General features: G+C 41.7%; 1 protein-coding gene across 8 annotated transcripts in view, besides 1 other annotated feature; it reads right to left on the bottom strand.

Moving 5' to 3' along the window:
* The window catches only part of PLEKHA8 (pleckstrin homology domain containing A8), a 102,072-nt gene that overhangs the window by 24,189 nt on the left and 57,020 nt on the right, over positions 1-20,863 (bottom strand). Inside the window, exon 14 of one of the 8 annotated variants that reach the window (XM_011515592.4) lies at positions 2,890-16,142. The exons of 6 other annotated variants lie outside the window; for them this stretch is intronic. In XM_011515592.4, coding sequence (XP_011513894.1) covers positions 16,077-16,142 — 66 coding nt within the window. In that variant the 3' untranslated portion in view covers positions 2,890-16,076. Of the gene's footprint in view, positions 1-2,889; positions 16,143-20,863 lie in introns of those variants that run through there. One more of the 8 variants, NM_032639.4, reaches the window with a different exon arrangement.
* Positions 18,665-18,824: an enhancer, noted in NCBI's record as "active region_25805". NCBI's record gives its function as "activates an Ori minimal core promoter by ATAC-STARR-seq in GM12878 lymphoblastoid cells {active_cell/tissue: GM12878}" and the evidence as "EXISTENCE:reporter gene assay evidence [ECO:0000049][PMID:35858748]".

Raw genomic sequence — 20,863 nt, 5'->3', positions numbered from 1 at the left:
GGTCAGGAGTTCAAGACCAGTCTGGCCAACATGGTGAAACCCCGTCTCTACTAAAAATACAAAAAAAAATTAGCTGGCCGTGGTGGCATGCGCCTGTAATCCCAGCTACTGGGAAGGCTGAGGCAGGAGAATCTCTTAAACCTGGGAGGCAGTGGTTGCAGTGAACCAAGATCGTGCCACTGCACTCCAGCCTGAGCAACAGAGCGAGACTCCACCTCAAAAAGAAAAAAAAAAAAAAAGATGTTAAAGACTTAAAGGTGAAAAAAACTACAAAATTATTAGGAAAAATATCACATAATGTTTAGTGATATTTGAATAGGGAATTCTGTTTCTAAACTAAACACAAGCACTAATCACCAAAAGGTGGATTCCATTTGATTAAATTAAAATTTAAAACACAACAAAAGAATGACATACAAAGTGAAAATACAAACCACCATCTAAGAAAAGCTATTTGCTACTCATATAACCAATGTATCTATAGTTGAAAAGAAAAAGATAACCAACCCAAGAGAAAAATGATATAAACTATGAACAAGCAATACCTGGAGGAAAACTCTTGAGTGGCCGGTAAACTTATGAAATGCTGCTCACCAGCCCCTGCCTACCCCTTTTAGCCATTTGTATTTCCTCATTTGTGAGTTACCTAGTCATATCCTTTGTATGTTTTCTATCATTTCTTTGTGAATTTTCTGATTTGTGGGCATTCTTCAAGTCTTGAACTTGCTGTTTTGATCTGGCTATTTGAACTGGATTGGAATGCCAACTTGCTGTTTTAATCCTGTCATTCCTGATAACTTTTTTCTTTTTTGAGACAAGATTTCGCTCTGTCTCCCAGAAAGGAATGCAGTAGTGCAATCACAGCTCACTGCAATCTCAACCTCCTGGGCTCAAGTGATCCTCCCACTTCAGCCTCCTGAGTACCTGGAACTATAGGCATATACCACCATGAATGGCTTTTTTTTTTTTTTTTTTTTTTTTTTAATTATAGAGATAGGGTTTCACCATGTTGCCCAGGCTGGCCTTGAACTACTGGGTTGAAGGGATGAACTTACCTAGGCTTCCCAAAGTGCCAGAATTACAGGAGTGAGCCACCACACTCGGCCCCTGAGAACATGTTTTTCTTAACTTTTAAAATAATTTACATACTGGGAAATGAGCAGATTATAAGTGGGCAGTCTGATGAGTTATGACAAATGCCCACGCATATAACCCATACCACTAGCAAGATATAGATCATTCTCATCACCCTAGAAAGAGCTGTTGTGAGGCTGGGCGCAGTGGCTCATGCCTGTAATCCCAGCACTCTGGGAGGCTGAGACAGGAGGATCATCACCTGAGTTCAGGAGTTCGAGACCAGCCTTGCCAATATGGTGAAACCCCATCTCTACTAAAAATGCAAAAATTAGCTGGGTGTGGTGGCATGTACCTGTAGTCCCAACCACTCGGAAGGCTGAGGCACGAGAATCACTTGAACCCTGGAGGTGGAGATTGCAGTGAGCCAAGATCATGCCACTGCACTCCAGCCTGGGCAACAAAATGAGACTCTGCCTCAGAAAAAAAAAAAAAAAAAAAAAAAAAGCTGTTGTGACCTTTACCACTCAACACCCATCCTAATAACCCAGGCAACCAATGTTATGATTTCTTGTCCCATAAATTAGTTTTTGCCTGTTTTGGAATTTCATATAAATGGAATAAGACACTATGCACTATTTTGTATCTGGCTTCTTTTGCTCATCATAATGTTTCTGGGGTTCATCTAAGCTGCTGGATATTGTCTATCAGTAGTTTTCTCCTTGTTATTGCTGAGTGGTATTCCATTGTTTCCACACACCAAAATTTGTTTATCTGTTCACTTAGCAAAGTGAAGAGACAAACCACAGTTTGCCTATCAACAGATAGGCAGAATGTATCTTCTAGGAGAAGATGGGTCATTGGGGCTATTATGGAAAAAGTCCTTATCTTGCAAAAATACCTAGCAGCGTTATTGCTGGGTCATGGAGTTTAAAAGAAATTACCAGATCAATTTCCAAAGTGGTTATACCATTTAAGACTCCAACTAGCAACATATGGTAATTCCAGTTGCCAATGTTTGTTGTTTTTGTTCTTTTAATGTTCACCAAACTAGTGGATGTATAGTGCTATCTCAGTTTAGTTTTATTTTGCATTACCCTGGTGACTAATGATATTGAACCCTTTTTCATATTTTACTGGCATTTGTATGTGGTCTTTTATAAAACAGCTGTTCAAGTCATTGTGCATTTTTTAAATAATTTGTTTTGGTCTTTTTATTATTGAGTTGTAGGAGTCTGGATACAAGCTTTTCTCAGCCATATGTGCAGGTATTGTGAATACTGTCTCTCATCTATGGCTTGTATTTTTTGTGAAGTTTTTAGTTTTGATGAAGTCCAATTTGTCACTTTTTTCTTTATAGTGCTTTTTGTATCCTAAAAAATAATGCTCTATGTTTCCTTGTAGGAGCTTTATCCGAAATTTTCACTTTTACATTCAGTTATATAATTTATCTCAAAAAATTTCACCTGTGTGATGTGAGGTAGGGGTTGAGGTTTATCTTTTCCATAGAGATAAGCAGTTGTTCTAGCACTATTTGTTGAAGTGATCTTCTTTTCACCATTGAATTGCTTTGGCATCTTGATCAAAAATCAACTGACTATATAAGTGGGGCCTGATTTCTGAACTTTCTCGTCCCATGGACCTTTACACCAATACATACCATCTTCATTACTACAGCTTTCGAGAAAGTCTTGCAATTCACTAATATATGTCTCCCAACTTTGCTAATTTTCAAGATTATTCTGGTTATTCTAGGTCCTTTGCATTTCTACATACATTTTAGGATTAGCACACCAATTTCTACAAAAACATTGCTGGCATTTTTTAGAACAACTTTATTGAGATATAATTCACATATCACACAATTCATACATTTAAAGTGTACAATTCAAGTATACAATTCAAAGTGCACAATTCATGCAATAACTTTTGGTATATTACATTATTAATTTTTTTAAATTATGGCAAAACATACATAACATAAAATATTCACATTGTTGTGCATCATTTCTTATGCACAATATCTGGAACATTTTTGTTCTGGAACATTTTTGTTATTCGAAACAGAAATTCTGTAAACATTATACGATAATTCCCCATTCTTCCTCCCTCCAGCACCTGGTAATCTCTCTCTCTCTCTTTCTTTTTTTTAAAGACAAGGTCTTGCACTATCACTCAGGCTGAAGTGCAGAGGGCCAATCAAATCTCACTGTAGCCTCCACCTCCTGGGCTCAGGCAATCCTCTGCCTCAGCCTCCTGAATAGCTGGGACTACAGGCATGAGCCGCCACATCCAGCTAACTTAAAAAATATTTTTTGTAGGGAAGGGCTTTTGTTTTGCATTTGCCCTGTGTTTGCCCTGACTGGTCTGGAACTCCGGGCCTTGGCCTCAAGCCATCCTTGCACCTATGCCTCCCAAAGTGCTGGGATTAAAGTGTGAGCCACCACACCTGGGTGCCCTCTGGTAATCTCTGATTTGCTTCCTGTCTGTATGAATTTGCCTATTCTAGATATTTCATATAAGTGGAGTCATACAATATTTGTCCTTTTGTGTCTGGCTTATTTCACTTCACATAATATTTCCAAGATTCATCCATATCAGCATGTTTCAGATCCTGATTCCTTTCCTATGGCCAAATAATATCCCGTTGTTTGTATATACCACATTTTGTTTACTCATTCATCTGCTGATAGGCCCTTGGGTTGTTTCCCATTTCTGGCTACTGTGAATAATGCTGCAATGGATATTGGCATACAAGTATCTCCTCAAGTCTCTGCTTTTAATTTCCTCGAGTCTATACCTAGGAGTGGAATTGCTGGATCATAACGTAATTCTATGTTTACCTTTTTCAGGAACTGTTAAAGTGCTTCCACAGCAGTTGCACCATTTTCCAGCAATGGACAAGACATTCAATTTCTCCACATCCTCACCAATATTCATTTTCTGCATTTTAAAAATTACTATTATAGCCATGCTGGTAGGTATGAAATGGTATCTCCTTGTTGTTCTAATTTGTATTTCCCTACTATGTTGAGCACCTTTTCATGTGCTTATTGGCCATCTGTATGTCTTCTTTAGAGAAATGTCTATTCAAGTCCTTTGCCTATTTTTAAATTGGGTTGTTTGTTTTCCTGTTGCTGAGTTATAAGAATTCTTTGTAGATTCTAGATACCAGTCCCTTATCAGATGTATGATTTGCAAATACTTTCTCTCATTCTGTAGGTTATCTTCTCATTTCTTTGACAATGTCCTTTGATGCACAAAAGTTTTTTAATTTGATAAAGTACAATTTATTTATTTATTTTCTTTTGTTGTTCATGCTTTTAGTGTCATATCTACCTGCTGGTATTTAGATTGGGATTGCACTGAACCTTGAGATCTATTTGAGAACTGACATCTTACCAATATCAGATCTTTTAACCCATGAATGTGGTATAGCTCTTTTCTTTAGGTCTTCTCTAACTTGTCGCAGAATGTTTTTATAGTTTTCAGTGTGTAAAGATTTTGCACATATTTTATTAAATTTTCCCCTGATTACAAATTTTGCTATGGTCTGAATCTCTGTGTTCTCCCCAAATTCATATGTTGAAATCCTAGCGCCTAAGGTGATGGTATCAGGAGGTGGGGCCTTTGGGAGGTGCTTAGATCATGAAGGCAGGACTCTCATGAATGGGACTGCTGTGCTTATAAAAGAGGCCCCTGAGAGCTTGTTTGCTCCTTCCTCCATGTGAGGACACAGCAAGAAGGTGGCTGTCTGCAACCTGGAAGAGAGCCCTCACCAGAACCCGACCACGGTTTCTGGCACCATGCTGGCACCACGATCTCAGACTTCCCAGCCACCACAACTGTGAGAAATAAACTCCCGTTGTTCATAAGCTACCCGGTCTATGGTATTTTATTACAGCAGCCTCAACAGACTAAAACAGACTTTTATTCTGTCTTAAACAGCATTGTCTTTCAAATTTCATTTTCTAATTGTTTTTGTTGGTATGTAGAAATGCATTTACTTTTCTTTTCTTTCTTTCTTCTTTTTTTTTTTTCCCCCAAGTCTCACTCTGTTGCCCAGGCTGGAGTGCAATCTCGGCTCACTGCAATCTCTGCCTCCCAGGTTCAAGCCATTCTTCTGCCTTAGCCTCCCGAGTAGCTGTGACTACAGGTGTGTACCACCACACCCAGCTAATTTTTGTATTTTTAGTAGAGACGGGGTTTCACCATGTTGGCCAGGCTGGTGTTGAACTCCTGACCTCAGGTGATCTGCCCACCCTGGCCTCCTAAAGTGTTTGGATTACAGGCATGAGCCACCATGCCCAGCTGCAATTTACTTTTCTACATTGATCCATCTTGCAAACATCCTACATTTAGCTATTAGCTTAAATAGTCTTTGCAGAATCCTCAGGTTTATTTGTATACATCATTTGCAAGTAGTTTTTATTTCTTCCTTTTCAATCTGTATACCTTTTATTGTCTTTTCTTGAGTTACTGCTCTGGCTATGACCTCAACTTCAATAATGAATAGAAGTGGTTATGGTGACAACAGATATCCTTACCTTGTTCCTTAATCTTGGGGAGACAATATTATCATATTCTTAGGTGTAATGATATCTAGTGTTATTATTTGAATTGTGTTCCTCTATAAGATTTATTTAATTAATTAATTAATTAATTTTTTTGAGACACAGTCTCGCTCTGTTGCCCAGGTTGGAGTGCAGTGGTGTGATCTTGCTCCCTGCAACCTCCACCTCCTAGGTTCAAGTGATTCTCTTGCCTCGGCTTCCTGAGTAGCTGGGACCACAGGTGTACACCACCATACCTGGCTAATTTTTTGTAATTTTAGTAGAGACAGGGTTTCACCATGTTGGCCAGGCTGGTCTTGAACTCCTGGCCTCAAGTGATCCACCCTCCTTGGCCTCCCAAAGTACTGGGATTACAGGTGTGAGCCACCGTGCCTAGTCCCAAAAGATATATTTAAATCCTAATCTCTGGTACCTGTGAATGTGACCTTATTTGGAAATAGGATCTTTACGGATATAGTCAAGATGGGGTCATACTGAATTAGAGTGGGCTCTAAATCCAATGACAGGTCTCCTTATGAGGAGAGAGAGATTTGGAGACACATGAAGACAACAGACACATAAAGATAGAGGCAGAGATTGGAGTGATGCTGCTACAGCCAAAGAATGCTAGGATTGCCGACAACCACCGGAAGCTAGGAAGAGGTAAGGAAGGATCCCTCCCTAAAGCCTTCAGAGGGAGATGGACTTGCCAACACCTTAGTTTTGGACTTCCAGTCTCCAGAACTATGAGAGGATACATTTCTGTTGTTTTAAGCGACCTGGTTGGTGGTGATTTGCTATTCCCTTAGGAAATGAATAACTAGCTTTGTTATACAAGCTGTTCATGAATTTTTTGTTATGTTATCTAGTTGTTCTATTTCATGTGGGAATTCAGAGAGAGTGAAGAATTATCCTGCTGCCACTCTCCATTTCCCAGAATTCCTCTTTGGATCAATGATTATAAATTTGTTTTACGGTCCAGCATATGGTATAACTTGGTGTATATTCCACATGTACTTGAAAAGAATGTGTATTCTCCCTGGATGTAGTGCTCTACAAAAGTCGATGAGGCTGAGCTGGTTAACAGCATTACTTAGGTCTTTGGTCATTTGCAGCCAAAAGAGTGCCAAGGAACACAACATTCATTATACATGAACTTCACTGCCACCTCAAGGGAGACTTTGTGCCTCGCCTTCACCTACAAGGACATACTCCGCACTCTGGGTTCCTAATGCATTTGTTTATACTTCTTAGAGAACCTGCATTACATTCTGTTTTATAGCATAGTTTTTCAAGAGTATGTCTTATGTCCATTACTACACTGCACATTCCTGGAGAGCAGAGTGTTTCTGATGTATTTCTGGGTCTGCAAGGCATCTAATTGGTGACTTGGATACCGCAGGTATTCATTGTTTGTGGTGTTTTGTTTCTTGCTTGGTGTGGAGACACTTCTACTGAAAGAACTGTCTTACAATGCAGGGAATTGATAAGGGGCTATATTAGAGAATTCTCTGTTTGGATGTGTGATTAAATATCTTGTTTTCTGAAATTTGAGATATTTAAGTACTTTATAAAAATAAAAACTTGTAAGAAATTGTAAAAAGAAAGAAAAGGCTGGGCACGGTGGCTCACACCTGTAATCCCAGAACTTTGGGAGGCTGAGGCAGGTGGATCACCTGAGGTCAGGAGTTCGAGACCAGGTTGAGGTGGAGCCAAGATGGCCGAATAGGAACAGCTCCAGTCTACAGCTCCCAGCGTGAGCGACGCAGAAGACGGGTGATTTCTGCATTTCCAACTGAGGTACCGGGTTTATCTCACTGGGGAGTGCCGGACAGTGGGTGCAGCGCACCATGCGTGAGCCAAAGCAGGGCGCAACATCGCATCACCCAGGAAGCGCAAGGGTCAAGGAATTCCCTTTCCTAGTCAAAGAAAGGGGTGACAGATGGCACCTGGAAAATCGGGTCACTCCCACCCTAATACTGCGCTTTTCCAACGGGTTTAACAAACGGCACAACAGGAGATTATATCCCGCACCTGGCTTGGAGGGTCCTACGCCCACGGAGCCTCGCTCATTGCTAGCACAGCAGTCTGAGATCAAACTGCAAGGCGGCAGCGAGGCTGGGGGACGGGCACCTGCCATTGCCGAGTTAGTTGTTTGATTAGGTAAACAAAGCAGCCGGGAAGCTCGAACTGGGTGGAGCCCACCACAGCTCAAGGAGGCCTGCCTGCCTCTGTAGGCTCCACCTCTGGGGGCAGGGCACAGACAAACAAAAGGCAGCAGTAACCTCTGCAGACTTAAATGTCCCTGTCTGACAGCTTTGAAGAGAGTAGTGGTTCTCCCAGCACGCAGCTGGAGATCTGAGAACAGGCAGACTGCCTCCTCAAGTGGGTCCCTGACCCCCGAGTAGCCTAACTGGGAGGCACTCCCCAGTAGGGGCAGACTGACACCTCACATGGCCGGGTACTCCTCTGAGACAAAACTTCCAGAGGAACGATCAGGCAGCAGCGTTTGCGGTTCACCAATATCTGCAGTTCTGCAGCCACCGCTGCTGATACCCAGGCAAACAGGGTCTGGAGTGGACCTCCAGCAAACTCCAACAGACCTGCAGCTGAGGGTCCTGACTGTTAGAAGGAAAACTAACAAACAGAAAGGACATCCACACCAAAAATCCATCTGTACGTCACCATCATCAAAGACCAAAGGTAGATAAAACCACAAAGATGGGGAAAAAACAGAGCAGAAAAACCAGAAACTCTAAAAGTCAGAGCGCCTCTCCTCCTCCAAAGGAACGCAGCTCCTCACCAGCAACGGAACAAAGCTGGACAGAGAATGACTTTGACGAGTTGAGAGAAGAATGCTTCAGAAGATCAAACTACTCCAAGCTAAAGGAAGAAGTTCGAACCAATGGCAAAGAAGTTAAAACCTTGCAAAAAAATTAGACAAACGGCTAACTAGAATAATCAATGCAGAGAAGTCCTTAAAGGACCTGATGGAGCTGAAAACCACGGCACGAGAACTATGTGACGAATGCACAAGCCTCAGTAGCCAACGTGATCAACTGGAAGAAAGGGTATCAGCAATGGAAGACGAAATGAATGAAATGAAGCGAGAAGAGAAGGTTAGAGAAAAAAGAATAAAAAGAAACGAACAAAGCCTCCAAGAAATATGGGACTATGTAAAAAGACCAAATCTACGTCTGATTGGTGTACCTGAAAGTGATGGGGAGAATGGAACCAAGCTGGAAAACACTCTGCAGGATATTATCTAGGAGAACTTCCCCAATCTAGCAAGGCAGGCCAACATTCAAATTCAGGAAATACAGAGAACGCCACAAAGAGACTCCTCAAGAAGAGCAATTCCAAGACACATAATTATCAGATTCACCAAAGTTGAAATGAAGGAAAAAATGTTAAGGGCAGCCAGAGAGAAAGATCGGGATACCCACAAAGGGAAGTTCATCAGACTAACAGCTGATCTCTCGGCAGTAACTCTACAAGCCAGAAGAGAGTGGGGGCCGATATTCAACATTCTTAAAGAAAAGAATTTTCAACCCAGAATTTCATATCCAGCCAAACTAAGATTCATAAGTGAAGGAGAAATAAAATACTTTACAGACAAGCAAATGCTGAGAGATTTTGTCACCACCAGGCCTGCCCTAAAAGAGCTCCTGAAGGAAGCACTAAACATGGAAAGGAACAACTGGTACCAGCCACCGGTACCAACATGCCAAACTGTAAAGACCATTAAGGCTAGGAAGAAACTGCATCAACTAACGAGCAAAATAACCAGCTAACATCATAATGACAGGATCAAATTCACACATAACAATATTGACCTTAAGTGTAAATGGGCTAAATGCTCCAATTAAAAGACACAGACTGGTAAATTGGATAAAGAGTCAAGACCCATCAGTGTGCTGTATTCAGGAAACCCATCTCACATGCAGAGACACACAGGCTCAAAATAAAGGGATGGAGGAAGATCTACCAAGCAAATGGAAAACAAAAAAAGGCAGGGGTTGCAATCCTAGTCTCAGATAAAACAGACTTTAAACCAACAAAGATCAAAAGAGACAAAGATGCCCTCTCTCACCACTCCTATTCAACGTAGTGTTGGAAGTTCTGGCCAGGGCAATCAGGCAGGAGAAGGAAATAAAGGGCATTCAATTAGGAAAAGAGGAAGTCAAATTGTCCCTGTTTGCAGATGACATGATTGTATATCTAGAAAACCCCATCGTCTCAGCCCAAAATCTCCTTAAGCTGATAAGCAACTTCAGCAAAGTCTCAGGATACAAAATCAATGTGCAAAAATCCCAAGCATTCTTATACATCAATAACAGACAAACAGAGAGCCAAATCATGGTGAACTCCCATTCACAATTGCTTCAAAGAGAATAAAATACCTAGGAATCCAACTTACAAGGGATGTGAAGGACCTCTTCAAGGAGAACCACAAACCACTGCTCAAGGAAATAAAAGAGGATACAAACGAATGGAAGAACATTCCATGCTCATGGGTAGGAAGAATCAATATCGTGAAAATGGCCATACTGCCCAAGGTAATTTATAGATTAAATGCCATCCCCATCAAGCTACCAATGACTTTCTTCACAAAATTGGAAAAAACTACTTTAGACTTCACATGGAACCAAAAAAGAGCCCGCATTGCCAAGTCAATCCTAAGCCAAAAAAACAAAGCTGGAGGCATCACGCTACCTGACTTCAAACTATACTACAAGGCTACAGTAACCAAAACAGCATGGTACTGGTACCAAAACAGAGATATAGATCAATGAAACAGTACAGAGCCCTCAGAAATAATGCCACATATCTACAACTATATGATCTTTGACAAACCTGACAAAAACAAGAAATGGGGAAACGATTCCCTATTTAATAAATGGTGCTGGGAAAACTGGCTAGCCATATGTAGAAAGCTGAAACTGGATCCCTTCCTTACACCTTATACAAAAATTAATTCAAGATGGATTAAAGATTTACATGTTAGACCTAAAACCATAAAAACCCTAGAAGAAAACCTAGGCAATACCATTCAGGACATAGGCATGGGCCATGACTTCATGTCTAAAACACCAAAAGCAATGGCAACAAAAGCCAAAATTGACAAATGGGATCTAATTAAACTAAAGAGCTTCTGCGCAGCAAAGAAACTACCATCAGAGTGAACAGGCAACCTACAGAATGGGAGAAAATTTTTGCAACCTACTCATCTGATAAAGGGCTAATATCCAGAATCTACAATGAACTCAAACAAATTTACAAGAAAAAAACAAACAACCCCATTAAAAAGTGGGTGAAGGATATGAACAGACACTTCCCAAAAGAAGACATTTATGTAGCCAAAAAACACATGAAAAAATGCTCATCATCACTGGCCATCAGAGAAATGCAAATCAAAACCACAATGAGATACCATCTCACACCAGTTAGCATGGCGATCTTTAAAAAGTCAGGAAACAACAGGTGCTGGAGAGGATGTGGAGAAATGGAACACTTTTACACTGTTGGTGGGACTGTAAACTAGTTCAACCATTGTGGAAGTCAGTGTGGTGATTCCTCAGGGATCTAGAACTAGAAATACCATTTGACCCAGCCATCCCATTACTGAGTATATACCCAAAGGATTATAAATCATGCTGCTATAAAGACACATGCACACGTATGTTTATTGTAGCGCTATTCACAATAGCAAAGACTTGGAACCAACCCAAATGTCCAACAATGATAGACTGGATTAAGAAAATGTGGCACATATACACCATGGAATACTATGCAGCCATAAAAAATGATGAATTCATGTACTTTGTAGGGACGTGGATGAAGCTGGAAACCACCATTCTCAGCAAATTATCACGAGGACAAAAAACCAAACACCTCATGTTCTCACTTATAGGTGGGAATTGAACAATGAGAACACATGGACACAGGAAGGGGAACATCACACACTGGGGCCTGTTGTGGGGTGGGGGGAGGGGGGAGGTATAGCATTAGGAGATATACCTAATGCTAAATGACCTAATGCTAAATGAGTTAATGGGTGCAGCACACCAACATGGCACATGTATACATATGTAACAAACCTGCAAGTTGTGCCCATGTTTCCTAAAACTTGAAGTATAATAATAATAAAATTTAAAAAAAAAAGGAGTTCGAGACCAGCCTGGCCAATGTGATGAAACCCTGGCTGTATTAAAAATACAAAAAATTAGCTGGGCGTGGTGGCAGGCGCCTATAATCCTAGCTACTCAGGAGGCTGAGGCAGAAGAATTGCTTGAACCCAAGAGGTGGAGGTTGCAGTGAGCCGAGATTGCGCCACTACACTCCAGCCTGGGCAACAAGAGCAAGACTCTGTCTGGAAAAAAAAAAAAAAAGTAGAAACTTGCTCTCCTACCAATCCCTAATATTTAGCAGATTAAATCAAAGAACTAAATGGAACTTAAAAGAAAAAGACATTAAGTATGAGTGATGACATTTATGAACAGTCTAAAGATGTCCCTTCGGATAATGTAATTTCCTTTGTGTCTAGGTACAGTTAGAGTGAGCTGAAAAGGAATTAGCTATCTGTCAGAAACAGGTACATATGTCCCCTAACCATTCCATCATAACTTAACTAGTACTAGCCATGTGCCAGGCACAGTGCTATATGCTAGCAATGTGTCATCTCAGCTAATCCTCATAACAACACCATCTCAGTCTCACTGACTAGGAAACAAAAGATCAAGGGGTTAAAGGATTTGTCCAAGGTGACCCAGTTTGTAAACTGAAAGGCAGACCAGAGTCCAATCTGACCATTCCAAGTCCAACGTGGTTTCCATGCTCACACCCAGGAAGATGAGAAGGAAGCAGAGGAGCTGCTTGGAGCTGAGTACCCATGCATGCGGCAGGCAGCTGAGCTTAGGAGACTCAGAAGTGGGTCATGATGGAAACACCAAGCTTTTGCCTGTCCAGGAGAGTAAGGCAACATGCCAGGCGATTTACATCCCCTGCCTCATTTAGTCCTTGCAAGAATCTTATGAGCAGGGTTGTGCAATCTCTTTATCTCAGTTTACAGAGGAGAAAGGGAATCCAGAGATGTTAACTAACATGCTCAAAATCCCATGGTGAGGGTGTGGCAGTGCTGGGATTTGACCCGTGGTCTGATTCCAGCCTCCGCTCTGTCTTACATCACAGGACATAGCCACATAGTGGTAAGGCTGTGGGCTTAGAGGCAGGCTGTCTGGGCTCACAGTCCTACCACTCATGTGCTTTCTCACCCACCTTGAGCAAGACAAGCAACATTTCCTCTTCTCACCTATAAATGGGGTTAATAATAGTGTCCACTTCACAGCTACTCTCAGGGTTAAGTGAGAACCTATAGGAAGTTTTTCACACAGTGGTTGGTAGTTCATAAGTATTCATAATTATTATTGTTATTTAGGAAAGAAGTAAAAGCTAACAGCCAGTGTCCTGATGCTGCAGCAGACCAAATAGTTATAACTGAAATTGGACCCCAGTTGGCCCCAGTTTAGGCATGTTTCTCAATTTTCTTCTGTTAACCCCACTGTAAAATAACGTGCCCATATGTTATGCAGAGGAGGAAAGCATTGAGAGAAAATCTGGTAACCTCACCAAAGGCATATCTTGGACTTATTTGAAAACTTATCAGGCTTCTTTTGGTTTCAAGTGATAGAATCCTAATTCCAATGAACTTTAAATAAAGTGGGACTTACTGACTTACATAACCAGAAAAAGCAAGCATGGAGGTGGCCCCAGGCATGACTTGATTCAGGACTAAATGTCGTATCTCTATCCTCACTTTCTCTCGATCTCACTTTAACCCTAGGGGAAAGGGATCGTCTCTCCCAGTCTCTAAATACATAGTCCCAGGGAAGTCCCATGATGGGCCTATTCTGGATCATATGCCCACGCTGTGGCCAGAGGCCTGGGGACTGTGACCGGCGGCCCAACCAGAGCTCAGAGTGGAGAAGGCAGTTCATTCAAAGGAATAAGAGTGTGCTCCGAATAAGGGGAGGAGATGAAGGCAGAAAAACAGATGTCCTCCGGAGTATGGAGAATGGGGTCCTATGGAGAGTGTCAGGTGCATCCTAATGCTCAGCCATTCTTCTGGAATCCTCCAACTGGGATACAGCTGTGGAGCACTGCAGCTGGCTCCGGGGCTCAGGCAAGGAAATGGTAGTGCCACATTCACATACAGACATGACTAGATGAGGGTCTTCTACTTGAAGGTGCCGTGACACACAGTGCAAAGTGGGGAGACTAGGGGCAGCAGTGAATCTTCTGTGAGGGCAGGGACAAGTGGAACAAATAAGAAAAGGCTTATTCCACCAGGTAAACTCCAGGCAGGATGGAGCCATACTTCCCTTTCAAACAATAACAACGACTATTATTACCACCACCGTTTTTGTAGCTCTTGCCTGGTGCTAGACACTGTGCACAATTCCCGACTTGATCCTTATAACAATCTTTTGCAATAGTTACTATGACTCCCACTATGAACGAAGGAGTCTTCCAGCTCCACAATCCTGTGATCATCTTTTCATACAAATCAAGTTGAGGATTTGGGATTTTATAAAAGTCTTGTGTAACACACAGAGACAGGGTCCTTAGTTGCTCACATACATGCCACAAGAGAATACAGGGCTTCCACGGGCTTCTATGAACATAAGGCTGAATGGTCCTTAAAACAAACGTGTGTGGAATAAAGTTTACTGCTCCATTCTCTCATCTGCCATCTCTGGATGGCTGGGTTTGATCAGCATAAGCTAATGCTGAACTAATGCTCTATGGCCCAGCAATTTCACTTGGGCAGAGAAAGGATTGACATTTCATTTCCAAACTCACAGAAGCACAAAGAAAGAAATCTTTCAGCTCCTTCGGTGAACTGCAGCCAATTCATGTGCAAAATCCCCATGTTGCTAAGAGTCTTTCTGGCTTCTTGTAAGATGACTGTCAACCACTCCAAATGGCTTTTTTTCCCTAATTTTCCATTTATTTCAGATGTACTGGGCAAGTCCCTAGGTATCATACTGGCATTCAGTCTTTCCCTTTAGCCCCAAAAGAATGTCCCAATCCTTAATGAGTTGTATAAAATGGAATGTTTGGATGAGCAATAGCTTCGTGTGGGTAAAGGAATAGCAGCTTATGAGAAAAATTAGCAGCGAAAAAAAAATGTAGTGAGATAAAGCTAGAAATTTTAAAGAACCTTGATAGGAGTTATGAAGCAAATGTCATTATAAGGAGCAGCACCTGCCGGGGGTCCACCACACTCTACAATGATTTTTAACCTTGTTTTTAGAAAAACACCTCCCATCCTCCATTAAAAAATAAAAAGATATCATAGGCATCAAACAAAAGTCAAGCAATATAGTAAAGTACAAAAAAAAAAAAGAGTAAAACAAAATCAATACCCACCTAAAAATAATCGTAATCCACTTTAGGTGAATATAATTCTTGATTTGTCTCTACAGAGATAGAGAGATAGAGGAAATATATATTTAGAGATAGGGTCTTGCTGTATTGCCCGGACTGGAGGGCAGTGGCCTGCAGCCTTGAACTCCTGGGCTCAAGCGATCTTCCCACCTCACTCTCCTGAGTAGTTGGAACTACAGGCATGCACCATCACGCCTGGCTAATTTTTAAAGATTTTTTTGTAGAGAAGGGGTCTTGCTCTGTTGCCCAAGCTGGTCTCAAACTCCTTGGCTCAAGCGATCCTCCTGCCTTGGCCTCCCAAAGCACTGGGATTACAGGTGTGAGCCACCATGCCGGGCTGAGGAATTTTTATAAACGTAAAATCATATTTATTTTTAATTTATTTCTTATCATATTTATTTTTAAATAAATAGCATTCAGCTAATTGGCTCGTATTTAAGACAAGAAACTAAAGTGAACTGAAACAATACGTATTTCTTTTTAGAAATCTGTTTATTTAAAAGATTACCAAAAAATTTAAGAAATTGTGTTTTTGAAAAAAGTTGAGACAGTATCAAGTCTCTGCTATGAAAATAAGAGGGCATTAGTGCTCTTATATCCTCCCTTCTCCCATTCCCAATTTATTAGCTATCTTAGGGTTTGTAATATTTATAATCTATATCTATACTGTGACTATAATTTCCAGTTTGACCTTGGTTCACCACCAGCTTTTTTTCTACCAGCTCATCCATCATTGAGTTATTTGGTTCATCTTTCCTATCAAATGGTTTCCTTAAGAAGGCACTCAGGTATTATGTTCTGAGTTCTTACCTGCTTAAGAGAACTTGACATTAGATTTGACGACTTGGTTGGCAATAATACATTTGAGTCATTCTTTTTTCCTACTCAGAACTTCGGAAATACTCCCCCATTGTTTCCCGTCACAGAATCTTGTGGAAAGGAAGTTTGAGGTCCCTTGGTGACTTGCTTTTTCTGCCTGAATGGTGAGGAATTCTTTCTTCATTCTTGAAGTTCAGGATCTTCATCAGGGTATGTTTTGGTGTCAAGTGTTTTCTGTTGGATTTCCTACAACATAGTGCACTCTTTTAATCTAAAGATTCCTTCCTTCATTTCAGGAAAAATCTTCTGTATTTTATCTCCAGATACTTTTTTAGTTCCTTTTTATTTTTGGTCACCAATTATTCTTATGTCAGAATATCTCGATACTCCTACATTTATCCTTTCAGGAATTACTCGAATCCCTGTTTTTAAAATTCTTCATTCACTGCATCATTTCAAGCCTTTTCTTCTGTTATCAATTCCATTTTCAACCATGTTTTTTGCTATTTCGAATATATTTATTTGTTCTATATTATTTTAGGGAAGTTTTCTTATCTCTGTCATCTGCCTTTTTATCTCATTCTGTTGTTTCACTGGCTCCTGAGTGCTTGTTTTATTGAGTTCATGTTTTCTAAGTTCTCTGAGAGCACAACACACCTGTGGGAACTTTTGTTTCTTGGACTAGCTTTTTTTCCATATTGGTTTCACCTGTTTCCCACTCCACCCCCATCCCCTTTCTGGCTGTAGCATACTCACACAGTTGCCAGGCCATCTTCCTTACATTTGCTCATGTTTAAGGTGAGCAGCTCTGTTCAGACCAGGTATTTGCTTTCATACAGTGTCAGTGTATTCTCCTTGACATATTTCCCATCTTGTTTGGCATCTATTTCGCTTCCCCTATAGGGTTGTGTTCTATGTACTTTCCTAATGGATGACACTGAAAATATTTAAGCATCAACATGTCACAGACATTGAGCAGACAGAACAGAGGTTGGTCATAGCTCTGGGCCACATGTTACTCCTGTAGTTGCTGGTCTGTGGGGGTGGTCTGGAGTGGGGGGGCGGGCTTCTTGTGAGAGGGGCTGGGGTGGCCAGAACAGCATGAGACACTTGGATAAGTGATTCTTTCCATCGTGGTGTGGAAGTATTTTGATATTTTAATAACCAGCACAGCCACATTAGTGTGTACCAGCCAAATATGAGCCCAGCCTGTTCGTGTCTTTGTGTCTGTATGGAGGAGGAAGGAGCTGTGTATAGAGGCTTTTACTAGAGGACTGGACTCTGCTCTGTCTTCTGATACTTGCGTTAAGTCCTGCACCACAGTGAATTCTGAATGGAGAGGAGACATATCTACTGTATGTACGGGGGACACAGCCTTTGGAATGTGGGTTTGTCTCTTAATTCAGGGATGAGCTAGTTCCAGTCCTCTGTTTCACCCATCTCTCCCCAGCAAACTCCATCCCACAACCCACCCCCACCCCACCCTACAACACCCCCACTCAAAATAAGGAAGAGATAAAGATACTCATCCTGCCCCTATTCACCAATTAACTTCTTTCCAAAACCCTAAATTTCAATGAGTGTTCTGCATCTTGCCAATCCCCTCTAGTGGGTGGGATTAGGAGCTCTTCTTTCTTACCAGAAAAATCTGGTCTTTTTGTTTGACTATCATCTTTTGAAGTTTAAGACACAAAAACAAGGTTGGGCTCCTTCCATTGCCTGGGTGCTAGTGAATTTTTTTTAACTGAGTTTTACTTTTTGAATTTTTATTTATTCTGGTTGTTCTTTATGTTCAGCTTTAGGGGATGAAGGGGCTGTGATCTGGCCATATTTATCCTAAAAGATCCCACATTACAATTTTAAAGGACTAAACCAGCAGCTCTGGGGGTTCTCACTCTGGGCTGCAAATTAGAATCACTGGGGAGATTTTAACATCAGTGACAGGCCACATTCCTAAGCCTGATTTTAGTGGTCTGGGAGATGCCCAGATATAAGTGATACATATATTTTTTCTTATTTGCTTGTTTTTTGAGTCCTTCCCGTGATTCTAATGCACAAACAGGGTGAGAACCATGAGCTGGACCTTGCATTCTAATCGTTCATAATTTGATATATATAAGCACCTATAAAATACAAACATTTTGCATGTGCATTAGCAAAGACAAAATATAAAAAAACACATAAATTATTTATACTCTGAGTGGTCAGGCACTCAAAAAGTATTTCCTGAGCAGCCAAGGGAGCAGGAGGGAATAGAAGTGTATGGTTTTGCTTCAAAAATATTTTTATCTAGCTGGCTAACAGAACTAACACATCTGGAAGAATCACAAAGCACATTGGTGGTGACGCCCAACTCCTAGGACAGTTTTGGAATTCTACGACGGACAAGGAAGGCACTGTCAGGTGCGGGGCACATTGACAGGAAAGTAAAGTTCATGATTTAATGAGAGAGGTGGCTACACCAATAACCAGAACCTAACACCAAAGAATTAGTCCAGTTACCTTGGAGTCACACTTCCCATCCTTAAGTTGTAATTCATAAAGTATCATTTAGAAATGCAGGGAATGTTTAGAGGTAAAATCCATAGCAGAGATGTGTTGAGTCTGGGAAGATTTTGAGGGGCTTCCAGGAATAAGGATGAGAAAAGGGCATACCAAGTTTGTGAAGGGACTTAAAGCCTGGCATAGAGTCACAGGGAGCATTTTCAGGTTTGGAAGGCCATGACAGGTTGAAGAGCAGAGAATCCAGAGATCAAGCATAGCTGTGCACAGCACTGGGAGTTTGGAGGCTGAGGCAGGCCTTGCTGACACAGCAGGTATAGAGAGGAAGTGAGAAAAGAGTTCAGAGTGTCTGAATTTCTTGCCTGAGAGACTAGAACAATGGTGACTCAACTGACTTGGATGGAAAAGCTGTAGGTGCAACCAAGTTTGGCTTTGGGGTTTCAGGTGAAGGTAGGGTCTCTAAGGGATGGTCAGTAGGCAGGTGGGTCTGGATTGGAGCTCTGAGACCACAGCCTAGATGAGTGACCTGTGCCTGAAGTATAATTGAAGGGTTATCCGCAGGGAGGAGAGCAGAGAGCCAGGTCTAAATTAAGAACAAGGTGGAGAATCATCACATTTCCCCCAGTAACCACAGAACTCTGGGGAAGAGGGTTGGTCACTGAAGCACAATTATCAAGGGAAGGGGAGGATGAGGGAATTCACTGTCTAAGGTGATCTCATAAAAGACTCTGAAGCAGAATTTGACTTCACAATATCTAAAAACCTTTCCAACAAGCTGGACTCTCAAGCCAAAGCAAAAGGTCCTAAAACTGGCCATACACAAGTGTCAGCAAAGATGCGACAACTTTGTTCTCTGAGGACAATGCATTCACACAGCAAATCATCCCAAACGTGATCTGTGTCCTCAGTGCTGATGTCAGACCATCATCGTTCATCAATTCTCCATCAACCCGAACCACACTGCTCCAAAGGTGGTTATCTCTATTTTGTGCCTCTGGAGAGGATGACAATAATAATGACAGTGGCAGGATGTGTGTGTCAATCCATGTGGACACACACAGGACATGTGCTCATATCATAAAAGAGCAGCTCTTCTAACCTACCAACAAGAGTGAAAGAAAAAAATAAAAATATCAACTCTAGGGTCATTCTATTCCTTCTTGCTCTTTCAGTTTCTCTACTGCAGCACAGATGAGCACAGATCTTCCAGGTGTGTCCAGGTTATCATAGAGTGATGGTAGAACAGAAAATGCACCAGTACCTGCAGATTCTGGAGTAATAGCAAGTGGCATGCACAGCCACACTCTGTTCTCCTTTGCTGGACCCTCATGACCACAAGGCAGCTGTACTCCTCTACCCACTGGAAGTTGGGACAGACATCCAAACACATTCTTTTTCTGAAACCAGCTCTGTTCACCCTCTGGACAGCAGTCCAAGCACCCCAAAGGGTACAGCTGAAGAACAGAAATGAACTCCCTTCATATACCTCCCATCTGAGCACACTCCTCCACCTAGGCACAGAGAGGCCAGAGGTAGATAGCTGGTCCTTACACAGCCTGCTCCAGCGGTATTGATGTTTTAGATTTATCAGAAGCCATTATGAGAAAGATCCTGGGGATCAGTGGGGTACTGCTCACAACTTAGAATAAGCAGAGCCCATACAGACTGACTTCAGGTCTGAAAGGCACTTCCTTTCTTACCCAGTGAGGCAGATGGTGGTGGTGATTCCTCAACATATCTCATTTGGGTTTTGCTTATGATTTGCCTATATTCAGTGTGGAACAATGACAGATAAGCTCGTCACAGTGATTGTTTGAAGGGATAGTGGCCCATTAAAATTAGTGCAAGTAAAAAGGTCAAGGCAGTGTATTGTAAAGGTACAGGTTTCTCAAGAAGAGGAACTTCAGGGCAAGGAACAAGGGCCTCCAGACAGCTGGAACTAGGAAAGGGAAGCCAGCCTTCAAGGAAACTTTGCTGGTGTCCCTGGCTACTACATGATTCTGCATCAGTGCTTCTCAGTGTGCCTACACCATCCTTCCTCTCCACCAGCTTCTTCTTCTTCCTTCTCTTGCACATGGCACAACATAGCCACCCCAGTCCCAACTCTACTTGACCCTTTTGCTCAAGCACCTACCACTCAACACTCCTGTTTCTCTCTTCTTTCAATCCCTCCCACTCTCAATTCTAACGGACTTAGCTGTTGTGTTTAAAGAGGTGGCTGGAGAGGGCTCAAGTGGGCAATAGTGGGAAGATTCCCTGAGACGTGGGTGGACAGGACAGCTCTCCAATGCCAGTCATACATATCCGTAGGTATCCTAATATGCACAAACAAGTGTGTGAGAGGCAAAACCTGACAGGTTCAACACTACTTTGACATCAAGTGATTTAGACAAAAAAGCGTCTGCTACAGATGTCATCTAATTAAGCACACAGCCATTGAAACATTAGGCTTAGCAAATTAATCT

Source organism: Homo sapiens, chromosome 7 (genome assembly GCF_000001405.40).
Source record: "Homo sapiens chromosome 7, GRCh38.p14 Primary Assembly".
In the NCBI taxonomy this organism is placed as follows: Eukaryota; Metazoa; Chordata; class Mammalia; order Primates; family Hominidae; genus Homo; species Homo sapiens.
The sequence above is the reverse complement of the archived record's forward strand: the minus strand, read 5'-3'. Positions and strand labels throughout refer to the sequence as shown.